The sequence below is a fragment of the Homo sapiens genome, chromosome 11 (assembly GCF_000001405.40).
Source record: "Homo sapiens chromosome 11, GRCh38.p14 Primary Assembly".
NCBI classification, from domain to species: Eukaryota; Metazoa; Chordata; class Mammalia; order Primates; family Hominidae; genus Homo; species Homo sapiens.
Window position 1 is genome coordinate 123840295 of NC_000011.10, and position 13686 is coordinate 123853980.

Consider the following 13686-nt stretch of genomic DNA (forward strand, 5'->3'; position numbering starts at 1 on the left):
ATCTGTAAAATGGAGATAATGATATCAGCTTTCTAAGGTTATTAGGAGGAATAAATGAAATACATGTGTATATATTTAAGTATACTGTATAAACCCTGGATTATGTTATTGTTATTATTATTATTCCTTCCTTGCTATTGTTACTATTATTATATAATATTTAACTATCAAGGTTGAAGGCTTGCAACATCTGAAAAGAACTAGTAGAAGTGTTTGTTTTTAATTATATGTGGTTTCATTTCTTAGACCATCTTAGCTAAGCCTACAACAACAAAAAGAAAAAGCACAACGTCCCCATTTCACAGATGAGAAAACAAATGGTCAGATAGGCTAAGTGTCACTCGATAAAAAAAAAAAAAAAAAAGGGTGATAAAGCCAGGCTCAAAATTTAGGTTTTTTGATTTTAGTTTTGTATTTTTCATTAATCCATGATATTGTGAATGCACAGTGGTTCAATCATAGAGTTCAGGGAATGTCATTTTCTCTATGGCTGAATTGTCTCTTCTAAACTGTGACTACAGTACTTTGCCTCTGATGCGGCACTGAGCCTATTCATACCTTCCCATATGCCTTTGATTTTCTGGTGTCTAAATCTGTCTTTCTCCACACTGAGCTAGAGATGAAAATAACCATTCTGAGCAGAAAAGCTTGGTTAAAGTTTTAAGTTCTCCTGTGCCATGAGGACATAATTTTGCTGACTGCTTCTTTCAAGACTGCCTTTACCTTTTCATTTCTTAGACTATAAGTGAAGGGATTCAGAAGAGGGGTCACCATTGTGGGGACAGCTGTCACCTTGTCAAAACCCATTGAATGACTCTGGCTGGGCCTCACATACCTGAAGATGTTGCTTATATAAGCGATGGAAATGACGGTGATGTGGGAAGCGCACGTGGAAAAGGCCTTCCGACGTCCTTGGGCTGAGGGGATGTGCAGGATGGTAGAAATGATGTAGATGTAGGACACAGTGGTGAGCACCAGTGAGGTCAGGAGGATGAGGGAAGATAAGAGGAAGTTTATCATCTCGATGAAATGAGTGTCTATACAGGACACATGTAGCAGAGGGGTGATGTCACAGAAGAAGTGACTAATTTCCTTGTAACAGAAAGGCAATCTGGACACCACAATGGTTGGGCACAACACAGACAGGAAGGCTCCAACCCAGCAGCCCAGAACTAGTAGGAGGCAGGCCCTGCTGTTCATGATAATGGTGTAGTGCAGGGGGTCACAGATGGCCACGTAGCAGTCAAAGGACATCACTGCCAAGAGGATAAACTCCACTGTCCCCAAGAAAACAAAGGAAATAAGTTTGGGTGATGCACCCAGCAAAAGATATGGTCTTCTTGTCCTGCAGGAGACAGGCTAATAGCTTTGGGATAACTGAGGTGGTGAAAAAAATGTCCAAAATTGACAAATTACTGAGGAAGAAGTACATTGGGGTTTGGAGGCGATGATTCGCACATGTTAGGGAAATGATGGCAACGTTTCCTGTTAGAGTAAGCATATAAGTAAACAAGAGGACTGCAAAAAGGGAAATTTGAAGCTGCTGAAGAACAGGAAAGGCCGTCAGGGTAAACTCAGTCACTGTGGTCTGATTTTGGATGTCCACTGCAGGCAATGCCTAGTGGGAAGCACATCTCTGAAAAAAAAAAGATAAAATGCAGAGATGATGCTCAACTTACGGAAGTTTTCAACTCCCAATATCTGTGATAAGAGTGAAATAGAAAAAACTTTGTGTGAGGAGTCAAGAGTGATTCGTTCACAGTCTGCTTCTGACTTTATTAAATGTGGTCCCTTGGGTAAATGACATTACTTCTTCTAACTTCAGTATTCTCATATTTCAAAGTTTTGATTGAATGAAATTATCCTCATGGTCCCTATAATTCTAGTCTTTATGATTTTAGTCTCTTTTACACAATGCTCCTTCCTGTCTCTTTTTTGCTCTTCCTGACCTACTACTTTCCCAGCTAAATTCTGTTCTTAAAAAGAGAGGCATACTAAACTGAGAATCTGGTCAATTATTTGAAAAATTGAGAAAAAGAAGGTTAATAAAACTTGAGTTAGGCCCGGTGAGGTGGCTCATACCTGTAATCCCAGCACTTTGGGAGACCGAGGTGGGCGGATCACGAGGTCAAGATATTGAGACCATCCTGGCCAACATGGTGAAACCCTGTCTCTACTAGAAATACAAAAATTAGCTGGGCACGGTGGCGGGTGCCTGTAGTCCCAGCTACTCGGGAGGCTGAGGCAGGAGAATTGCTTGAACTCAGGAGGCGGAGATTGCAGTGAGCTGAGATCACACCACAGCACTTCAGCCTGGTGACAGAGTGAGACTGTCTCAAAACAAACAAAAAACAAAAAAAACTTGTTACTTTTCTCAAAGTTATTTCAACTTTGAAGATATCTTCTAAATCAAAGAACAGAAACTGTTAAAACTGGCCAAGACAGTTAAATCGAGGGGAGTCAACATTTACCTCTACTCATTTTTGTTATTGTTACCATGTTTTGAATATCAGTGTAATAGACAATTGGACACAAATTACTCTAATCAATCAGTCTTTCCCTACTTAGTTTTTCTTTGTTTTTACTTTATATAATAGAAATGTTTTGATGTCTACACTGTTATGGAACAAGTAGGTCCATGATACATAATTCATAATCTGTGTAACCTATTTTAAATATTTTGAAAAAAATCTGATGGAAAAATGATTATTTGTTGTTATTTTGTTGTTTGTTGCCATGTTACATTCATGGCAGCATCCAAAAGAACAACAAACGTTTCCCCTTTCCTTCTCCAACTGATTCTTACAGGTTTTCCCAAAGAAGTCTTTTATACACGGCATTTTTTTCCCAGCCATTTGAAGAGTAGGTTATTAATAATACTGCAAAAAAGTGGATGCCGAAACATGTATTTGATCTATCGAAAAGATGTATATGAAACACTCAGCTTAATCTCTGAATACTGCCCTGCTTCACCGAAGATCTGTTTCATGTCTATGTAATTCAGCTGAAGCACTGTCCTCTGGTATATTATTTTGTGACCAGTGCTCTAGTTTCAAGTTAAAACAACTAATTTATATCTCTGAACTAGGTAAATTTTTTAACGTGGTGCACACAGAATTCCTCTTTAAGGGAGGCCATTTCCTCAGACTCTCTACCTGGGAAAAGTGACCTGCCAGAAGCTGTTACTATTATTATTTTTTCATTTATTCATTCTTTTAATTAACACATAGTTTTCTTTAGCATATGCCGTGCATCATGCAAATTTTCAGGTGCTGGAGCTATATCAGAGGAAAACAAAAAATATAAAGCAAAAACAAAGCAAAAATGTTAACAACAAAAAACTTCCCTTATGAAGCTTACAGTATAGTTAAGAGAGACAGAAAATTAGATAAATAAGTAAAATAAATGCTATGATCTTAATTGTGGTAAGTCTCAGAGCTAAGACATTTTTTCTAAACATATTTCCATTTGCAAATCTGGCTGTGACTTTTTCTGGTTCTTGTAGTTGCTTCTTTATTTTTATTCACTACTCATTTTTTCATGAATCAAGGTATCCTTGTTATTTTAATAATTATCTTCATCTTCTCTGTTCCATATAAGAACATTCTGGTTTCTTATAATTTTTTCACATTTCTAAGCTGTTGGTAAGTACACTTTACAAATGCATAGTGGTTTTTGTCTATTTAAGAGTAATTTTCAAATGAAAGTGGCATGGAATAACTTGACTTGCTGTTGAGCTTAGTAGCTCTTTTTACTTCCTTAACATCCTTGGTCCTGGTTTCTGAATCCATGAGTATTGGTCCTCTCCATATTCCTTCCCAGTCTAAATATTTCTTTTGTTTTTCATGAGGTCAGACGCCATATCTATTTCATACCTCATCCTTTGAGCCCAGAAGGTGCTCATTGATTTACTAAATAAATAAATCAGAATTGGGGAAGCTTCTCCCTGAAGCATGAGGTTGCAGCTGCCACAAGGGTAAGCAATGGTAACCTCTATAGCTTGTATTTTCACATATCCAGTGCAGACTTCTATCACATCCTGTACTTTCTTGGTGTGTTTTTCTTTGCCCAGTTATCAGGATCTGTGTAGTTTTGGAAAACTGCTTCCTGCAATATTAATGCTGGGCTTGGGAAGAAACCCAAACACCGCAATGCCTAATCAAGATCTTTCGTAGTTTAGAGGTGGGAGACAAACAAAAAGGTGAAATTCTATGATAAAAAGAGAAGTTTACATTAGTAAAGTGCATTATTCCACTTCTTCTAGTAATTTTTTGAATTGTTACAAGGTGGGCTGTTTAATTAGATTTTAAGTTATTAAAGAATTCCAAAGAGTAATATCTATTGAAATAGGCTCTTGGCACCAATAGAAACTCTTTTTACCACAAATACTCTAATGTTCTCTCCTCGCTCGCTCTACTGCTCTTTTGCCCAGACAATAAACTTCTAAACTATTGGCTACAGCACAAAGAGCAAAAACTATATCTGGTTAGGCAAGTAATAATGTTATTGAGATAGAATACAAAAATAGAATAGAGCACACTATGTAGACAAGGAGAAAAGCTTTAGAATTCCCCTGCATTTTCCCCTTCCTCTCTTCATCACTGATAACACTGAAGACTGACAGATATCTTAAGGCAGAATAATGAAGATTTTCATACCTATCATCCCATTGTTCAATGCCTATCATCCCATTGTTCCTTTCATTTGTCTAATTTCTTTACAACATCCTTAATGTCTTACTTTTTTTTTTTTTTTGTTGCTAGGTAGTCTTTTAGGACCCTGATAGGAGCTTGATTTCCCTCTGGTATTTTAAAAATTGAGCAACTCAGGCTTTTCAAAAGCATTATACAATTTTTAAACAATCAAAATCTGTGGTGGTTGAAAACAAACAGAGTTGTTATTTGCCATGATTGTCATAAAAAATTATCACTATGGGAAAAAAAAATGGTATTGCGAGCTTTCTATTTTGCTATACTTTGGGTCAAATGTACGTCTCTGAGAAGAACTGAATACGTAGCATCTCTCTCCTTTGTGGAGCCTCTTAACTTCTGAAAAGAACATGGCCTTTTTAAGGTTATCTCAGGGCCCTGAGGACCTCATCATATCTAGGAAGGAAGGCTCTGGGCTCTCTGGACTGTAAAGACCTGTGTGTAACAATTTAGGCTTTCATTTTTGGGGGCATTTGTTCCCTCATTAACATTTCTGTGGATCCTTAGAAAATTGCGTAAAATTGCACATTTAAAGATTCAAGAATTAGTCAGGAAAATGTGGCATAATAGGAAAAAGTGTAGCAGGTTTTAGAATCAATGATATGCTATATTTTTAGTTTAATCACTTGTAGCTTTATGATCTTTTAATAGGATGCTTAAGCATCCTGAGTTTTATCTTCCTCATCTCTAAAATGGCAAAAGTAGTAATACCAGATTCAAGGTCCTAAGACAGTGCCTACCACAGTGATTTATACCTAGTAGGTGCTCACTAAATGTTTCTTAAGAACATAGGGTTGGGAAAGGGTGAACAGAAATGAAATAAGATGTGATGCAGGTTGGGGATTAGATGTAACTTAAGTTCTTTACTATCAGTAAAATGTAAAAATGTTTGTTACTGAAGTATATTAAAAGATTTAATTACATACTTAGGATAAAGATATAACATTTGACACCCTCCCTCATAAAATATTTGACAGAATGGTAATTACATTTTAATTTATAAAATTACCCATAAACAAATTTAAGTGACACTTAGATTGTTTGACATAAATACAGATAATTACATGACAAAGTATACTTACATTACACTGCTTGTAGAACGATTGGTAATTTCTTCATTCAAATATGTTAAGAAATTTGAACTTCAAGTATTTTTTTCCTACTCCATATCATTCATTATTCTTTAAATGCTTTCACTGCTCCAGTTTTGAATTCTCTATAAACCTACCTCTGTTTTAGCTGAGACTCCTCCTTATACCACACTTAATCCCCTTTGCAGAACCATACCGAATGGTTATTCAATTTTGGCTGGAATACTCCATCTGTCTTCCCTTGATTGAGAAGCTATCTTTTTATAACCTCTAATTACTTTTCTCAGTTCTTTTTCTTAGTCCCATTGAAGAAGTCTAAGTCTTGATTTATACTAAGTCCAAGTGTTATACCATTATTTAATCATTTCATCCTGCATATCTAGTGTATCTCAAACTTCGAATAGTCCTCTGAGTTTCAAGGACTACATTTTTGCCAAAAGAATTTTGATTTGGTAATGAATCAAGACATTAGACACGACTGAATTAAGCATAGGTCCTTGACTTCTATTTTAGATCACTGGTAAAATGATCGAAAGCTTCTGAACTCTCAATTATTTTTTCAGCAGTAGGAATGTAATTTCCTGTCTATCCAGTCGATTTCTATTTCTTCAGTGGATCCATCCAGAAAATTGAAGTTTTCAAACCCACAGAATGTCAGATTGGAAGAAAACTTAAAGGGCATCTGAGCCAACTTTGTCCTAAAAAGTTCTACAATATCTTCAACAAGTTATCCAGTGACATTAAACTTGCTATTCTTAAATCATCTTATTTTACTTTAACATTCTTGATTGTTAGAAAATATTATATTTGTATTCAGTGAAGTAATCTCTTTAACCTTCAGCATTTTGTTTAGGTATTCCTGCTTATTCATCAGGCATATTGTGACTTGATTTTAGATACATCTACCTTATTTGCTCGCCCCAGAAAATAATATGACCTTCCCTGTATTAAAGTGATTATAATTGTGATCTTTAATGATTTTTTGTTTACCTTCAGAGATCGGGATTAGAATGGCTCTTGGGACTATTGCATAGAAAAGGTTTATTATTACTGCAATCAAGTAATGTTAGAATTGAAGTAACTAATCATAGTTAAAAAGTTAAGGTTTCCTGGAAAACTCTCTTGGGTGTTTTCAGGAAAAACTTAGAGACCTGCTTTAAAGCCTCAGAGAAATAGAAACTTGGAAAACTTAAAAAAAATCTGACATGTTCATCATGTCTTAAAATAGGCTTTCAACTGCTCTTCAAAGTGAGATTATTTACATATATATGTAGATATTTTAAAATCCATTTATTGAGGTATGCTTTATACATAATTAGTAATTTAAAATGTATAATTTGTTAAATTTTCACATGTATACAGTCATATAGCCACTGTCATCAACATGACAATATTTTAAAAATATTTCCATTACCTTAAAACGTTTTCTGGTGCTCTTTTGCAATAAATGCTTTTCTTCCCCAGCCTCAGCTCCTGAAAACCACTGACATGTTTCATATCAATATAATTTTGATTTTTCTAAAATTTTACATAAATGGAATCTTATAGCATATAGTATTTTGTACCTTGCTCCTTTCACTTAAATTGATGCTTTGACAATAATACAAATGATTCAGGTATCAGTCGCTTCTGCCTTTGTACTGTTGAAGATGATCAATTGTATAGATTGCGTAGATATACCACAGTTTGGGTATCTATTCATCAGATAATGGGCACTTGAGTTGTTTCAAATTTTGGCTATTATGAATATAACATCTATGAACATTTGAGTTTCTGTTTTTGTGTGAATATTTGTTTTTATTTGTCTTGGATACATTCTTAAGAGCAGAATTACTATGTTGGATGGTAAAAGGAGATAGTTTGACTTCCTCTTTCCATATTTGTTTGCCTTTTATTTCTTTCTGTCGCCTGACTGCTCTGCCTAGGACATCCAGTACTATGTTGAATAGGAGTGGTAGTAGAGGGCATCCTTGTGTTGTTGCAATTTTCAAAGAGAAGGCTTCTGGCTTTTGCCCATTCAGTATGATGTTGGCTGTGGGTTTGTCACAGAAGGCTCTCAATTTTTTGTACTAAGTTTCTTCAATGCCTAGTTTGTTGAGGGTTTTTAACATAAAGTGTTGTTGAATTTTATTGAAAGCCCTTTCTGCATCCATTGAGATAATCCTGTGGTTTTTGTTTTTAGTTCTGTTTGTGTGGTGAATCACATTTATTGATTTGTGTATGTCAAAGCAACCTTGCATACCAGGGATAAATCCTACTTGATCATGGTAGATTAGCAGCTTTTTGATGTGCTGCTGCTATATTCAGTTTGCTAGTATATTGATGAGTATTTTTGTATCTCTGTCCATCGAGGATATTGGCCTGAAGTTTTCTTTTTTTGTTGCATCTTTGCCAGGTTTTGGTATCAGGATGATGCTGGCCTCATAGAATGAATTAGGGAGGAGCCCTCCTCCTCAGTTTTTTGAAATGGTAGGCATGGTACCAGATCTTCTTTATACATCTGGTAGAATTCAGCTGTGAGTCTGGTCTTGAGGTTTTTCTGGTTGGTAGGGTTTTTATTAATGACTCAATTTCAGAACTCATTATAGGTCTGTTCAGGGATTAAATTTCTCCCTGGCTCAATATTAGGAAGTTGTATGTATCCAGGAATTTATTTCTTCTAGATTTTCTTTTTTTTGTTTGTTTGTCTTTTGTTTTTGAGATGGAGTCTCACTTTGCCACCCAGGCTGGAGGTGCAGTGGTGTGATCTCGGCTCACTGCAAGCTCCACCTCCTGGGTTCATGCCATTCTCCTGCCTCAGCTTCCCAAGTAGTTGGAATTGATCACTATTTTTATTGTGCTGTGGTTCCAAAATGAGGTTGGTATGATTTCAGTTTTGAAAAATTTGGTGAGGATTGTTTTATGCCCGAGTGTGGTTGATTTTAGAGTATATGACATGTGCAGATAAGAGGAATGTATATTCTGCTGTTTTTGGTTGGAGCATTCTGCAGATGTCTATTAGGTCTGTTTGGTCAAGTGTTGAGTTCAGATCTTGAATATCTTTGTTAGTGTTCTTCCTCAGTGATCTAATACTGTCATTAGGGTATTGAATTCTCCCACTATTAGTGTGTAGTTATCTAAGTCTCTTTGTAGGTCTCCATGGACTTGCTTTATGAATCTGGGTGTTCTTTTGTTGTGTGCATATATATTTAGGACAATTAGGTATTTTTGTTGAATTGAACCCTTTACCATTATGTAATGCCCTTCTTTGTCTTTTTGGGCCATTGTTGGTTGAAAGTCTGTTTTGTCTGAAATTTGAGTAGTAGCCCCTCCTTTTTTCTTTTTTTCTTTCTTTCTTTTTTTTTTTTTGTTGTTGTTGTTTTGTTTGCTTGGTAGATTTTTCTCCACCACTTTACTTTGAACCTGCGGTGTCATTGTATGTGAGATGGGTCTCCTGAAGACAGCATACAGTTGGGTCTTGCTTCTTTATTGAACTTGCTACTGTATGCCTTTTAATTGGGGCATTTAGACAATTTACATTGAAGGTTAATATTGATATGTGTGGATTTGATACTGTCATGTTGTTAACTGATTATGCAGACTTGATTGTGTGGTTGCTTAATATTGTTACTAGTGTATGTACTTAAGTGTGTTTTTGTGGTGGCCAATAATGGTCTTTTCTTTCCATATTTAGCACTCCCTTACAAACTCCTTGTAAGGCAGGTCTGTTGGTAGCAAATTCCCTTAGCATTTGCTTTTCTTAAAAGAATCTTATTTCTTCTTCAGGTATAAAGCTTAGTTTGGCTGGATATGAAACTCTTGGTTGAAAATTCTTTTAAGAATGCTGAATACAGGCCCCTAATCTCTTCTGGCTCATAGGGCTTCTCTCTGAAAAGTTCACTGTTAGCCTGATGAGGTTCCTTTTGTAGGTGATCTGCACCTACTCTCTAGCTACCTTTAATATTTTTTCTTTTATTTCTACCTTGCAGAATGAATCTTATGACTATGTGTCTTAGGGATGGTCATCTTGTATAGTATCTCTAAGGGATTCTCTGCATGCATTTCTTGAATTTGAAAATCAGTCTGTCTAGCAAAGTTGGAGAAATTTTTGTGGACAATATTCTCAGTATGTTTTCCAAGTTGCTTGCTTTCTGTCCCTCTTTCAGTGATATCCATGAATTGTAAATTTGGTCTCTTTATTTGATCTTATATTTCTAGGAGGTTTTGTTCATTCTTCTTTACTGGTTTTTCTTTATTTTTGGGTTACTGAGTTATTCAGAGAACTAGTCTTCAAGCTCTGAGATTCTTTCCTTAGCTTGGTCAATTCTGTTGTTAATACTTGTGATTGCATTGTGAAATTCTTGAAGTGAGTTTTTTGGCTGTATCAGATCAGTCTGATTTTTTTTTTCTTAAAATGGCCATTTCATCATCCATCTTCCATATTATTTTGTTGTATTCGTTAGAGTCCTTGAATTGGGTTTCGACTTTCTTCTGAATCTCAATCTTCATTTTTATCCCTACTCTGTATTCTATTTCTGTCATTTCAGCCTGATTCCAATTTATTGCTGGAGAACTAGTGTGGTTGTTGGAAGGTCAGAAGACACTCTGGCTTTTTGAGTTGCCAGAGTTCTTGCACTGGTTCTTTCTCATCTGTGTGGGCTGATATTCCTTCAGTCTTTGAAGCTGCTATCCTTTGAATGTTTTTTTGTTCTTTTATCTTCTTTGATGCCCTTGCAGGTTTGATAATGGTATAATGTGAGTTCAGTCAACTGGCTTTATTTTTGGAAGGTTTTAGGGGGCTAGAGCTCAGCCTAGTGCTTTTGGGTTGTGTGCTGTAACTCTGGGGGCTGGTATCAGACCTCTGGCTTTGTTCTCTGGCCTCTCAAAGTTAGAAACCTTTGCTGGAGCAGCTGAGATATTCCTGGACCATTGGCCATAGCACTCTGATGGGTGGTGCCAGCCAAAGTACTTCACTGGGGCAGTAGCAGTGGAATTCATGTTCATTCATGTGTGCCAGCAATAGCGGCAGTGCGGCAGGGTACTATGCTCATCACCTGTGGTAGGGTACCAGTGGGAGTGGAGCTGTGGCATTCCTATTCATGGTCACATTGGCAATGCCCGTGGTGGGGGCAGGCTGCTGTTGCACACAGGGCTGCCAGCCTCTGTGCCTGTGTTTGCAGTAGCAGGGGTGGTGGTGGCGTATGCGGGGGTTGGGGTTGTCATTGTGTGTGTGTTCATGTCAGCAGCAGCAGCTGTGTTGGGGGAGTGGGGTTGCTGGCATCTGTGTGTGCATTTGTGCTGACCATGGTGGCACAGCCAGGGGTGGGGTGGCCTCATACCAGTAGCAGTGGTGCAGGGTGCATGTGTACACATGTGCCGGTGAGTGAAGGGAGTTGAGGTCTACCCACTGTCTCACATGCCAGCAATGTGGTGGGGAGGTGGCTATAGGTGAGTGCATGCTGGAAGAGTGGCATGGGAGAGGCTGCAGTCGGGGAACAGTGTGGGTGGGATAGTACATGATGGTGGGAGCCACTCTTTTGGTGCTTTTCCATGGTCAGATGCAGTCTGCCAGTGAGGGAGCTGTGATAAGGGCACTCAGGAAACATCTTGATTGGGTATTTGAGGCTGCACTGTAAGCATGCATGGCCAGGCTGTGGTCCTGGGGGTGGGGGCAGCAGACGGGGAGTTGCTCAGATTGGGCTGGACCCATCTCACAGGCAAGACACCCTGCTCTGTTCATGTCCAATAGGCCCCCTAAGGCTAATGTCTCCTAGAGGAGCATAGTGAGCCTTGGGTGATGGGTATCCCTGGCCATGCTCCACTGCAGATGTTTCCACACCAAACCCCCTGGGCTCTGCACAGGCTGGAGTCCTGCCCCTACCACCTCTCTAAGAAGCTCTCCCTGCCAGCTCAAGTGCCCATGGGGCTCATAGGGTCTCCTGTTGCCAGGATTCCAGAGGTCTGTGGTGAGAGCAGTCACTTCTTGCCTGTTCACCTCGCTCCTCCCCCAGGAATTGAGGGCCATGAATGAGCCCCAGTGTGCAGTAGCTCCATGCAGAGTTGCTGGCTTCCACTCCCTTCAGCCCAGCCTCTGTGTCATCCCTCTGTCCACTCTCAATGCCTTTACTCTGAAGATCTGCTCAGAGTGTGCCTGTCTTCTCAATGTCCCAGTCTCTTGGTGTCAGATGTTCCTTCTGGCTGCTTCTAGTCACTTATCTTGAATCTGGTTTGCATGTCTGTCCCCTCCAAATCCCATCTTGAAATGTGATTCCCAATGTCAGAGGTGGGGCCTAGTGGAAAGTATCAGATCAGAGGCAGATCCCTCATGAGTGACTTAGCACCCTCCCCTTGGTAATGAGGGAGTTTTTGTTAGGTTTGTTCTTGTGGGTTCTGGTTATTTTAAATAGTCTGAGACTTACCCCTCCTCCATCTTGCTTCTGCTCTCACCATGTGATGTGCTGGCTTCCTCTTCACCTTCTGCCATGAGTGGAAACAGAAATATCCTGTCACAGATATGTCTTTATGACAATGCAAAAATGAACTAACACAGAAAATTGGAACTGAGGAGTGGAGAATTGCTATAAAAATACCTGAAAATGTGAGAGTGGCTTTAGAATTGAGTAATGGGAAGACACTGGAAGAATTTGGAGATCCCAGAAGAAGATGGCAAGACAAGGGAAAGTTTGCAACTTCTTAGAGACTTGTTAAGTGATTATGACCAAATTGCTCATAGAAATATGGACAGCGAAGGCCAAGCTGATAAGGTCTCAGATGAAAATCATGAAGTTATTGAGAACTGGAGCAAAGGTTACCCTTGTTATATCCTAGCAAGGAACTTGGCTGCATTGTATTTATATCCTAGGTCTCTGTGTAAGGTTGAACTTAAGAGTGGCAGAAGAAACTTATACGCAGCAAAGCATTCAAGATGTGGCCTGCCTGCTTATGACAGCCTGGGATCAGATATCAAACAAAATAATTACTTAAAATTGTAACTTATATTTAAAAGAGAAGCAGTACACAAAAGTTTAGAACATTTGCAGCCTGGCGGTGTGGTAGAGAAGGAATCCAAGTGGCTTGCAGAGCCACCACTTGCCAGAAAGATTAGCATGACTAAAAGGGAGCCAAGTACTAATAGCCAAGACAATGGGCAAAAGGCCTTAAAGGCATTTCAGAAGTCTTTAGGACATCCCCCTTCCATTACAGGCCCAGAGGCCTTTAGGACATCCCCACTCTGGGCAAGGCCTGCGGTGCTGCCCAGTGCCACCTAGGGACACCACTCCCTGCATCATGGCTGTTCCACCTTTAGTCATGGCTCAATAAGACCCAGGTACAGCTCAGGTCACAGCTCCAGAGGGCACAAGCTGTAAGCCTTGGTGGCTTCCACATGATGTTAAGCCTGCAGTTACACAGAATGCAGGAGTGAAGGAGGCTTGGCAGCTTTCACCTAGATTTCAGAGGAAATACTGAAAGGCCTGGGTGCCCAGGCAGAAGCTTGCTTCAGGTGGAGCCCTTGCACGGAGACTCTACTAGAGCAGTGCTGAAGGGAAATGTGGTGTTGGAGCCTCTACATGGAGACTCCTATGGGGCACTGCCTGTGGGAATGGGGCCATCACCCACCAGACCCCTGAATGGTAGAGCTAGTGGCAGCTTGCACCTTGAGCCCAGAGAAGCTGCAAGCACTTAACTCCAGCCTGTGAGAGCAGCCACAGGGGCTGCACCCTGCAAAGATGCAGGGGTGGAACTGTGTAAGGTCTTCAGAGTGCACCCCTCACATCAGTGTGCCCAGAATGTGGGACATGGAGTCAAGGGAGATTACACTGGAGCTTTAAGATTTAATGTCTGCCTGCTGGGTTTCAAATTTGTGTGGGCCAGTTGCCTCTTTCTTTTGGCCAATTTCTCTCTATTTA

The 13686-nt window shown here is 39.2% G+C and overlaps 1 pseudogene, besides 1 other annotated feature; it reads right to left on the reverse strand.

The window, feature by feature from the left end:
* Positions 435–1634: an enhancer, noted in NCBI's record as "CDK7 strongly-dependent group 2 enhancer chr11:123711437-123712636 (GRCh37/hg19 assembly coordinates)". NCBI's record gives its function as "activates an origin of replication core promoter dependent on BRD2, BRD4, P300/CBP, MED14 and CDK7 cofactors, with strong dependence on CDK7, by STARR-seq in HCT116 cells {active_cell/tissue: HCT116}" and the evidence as "EXISTENCE:reporter gene assay evidence [ECO:0000049][PMID:35650434]".
* OR6M2P (olfactory receptor family 6 subfamily M member 2 pseudogene) lies at positions 664–1609 on the reverse strand (annotated as a pseudogene).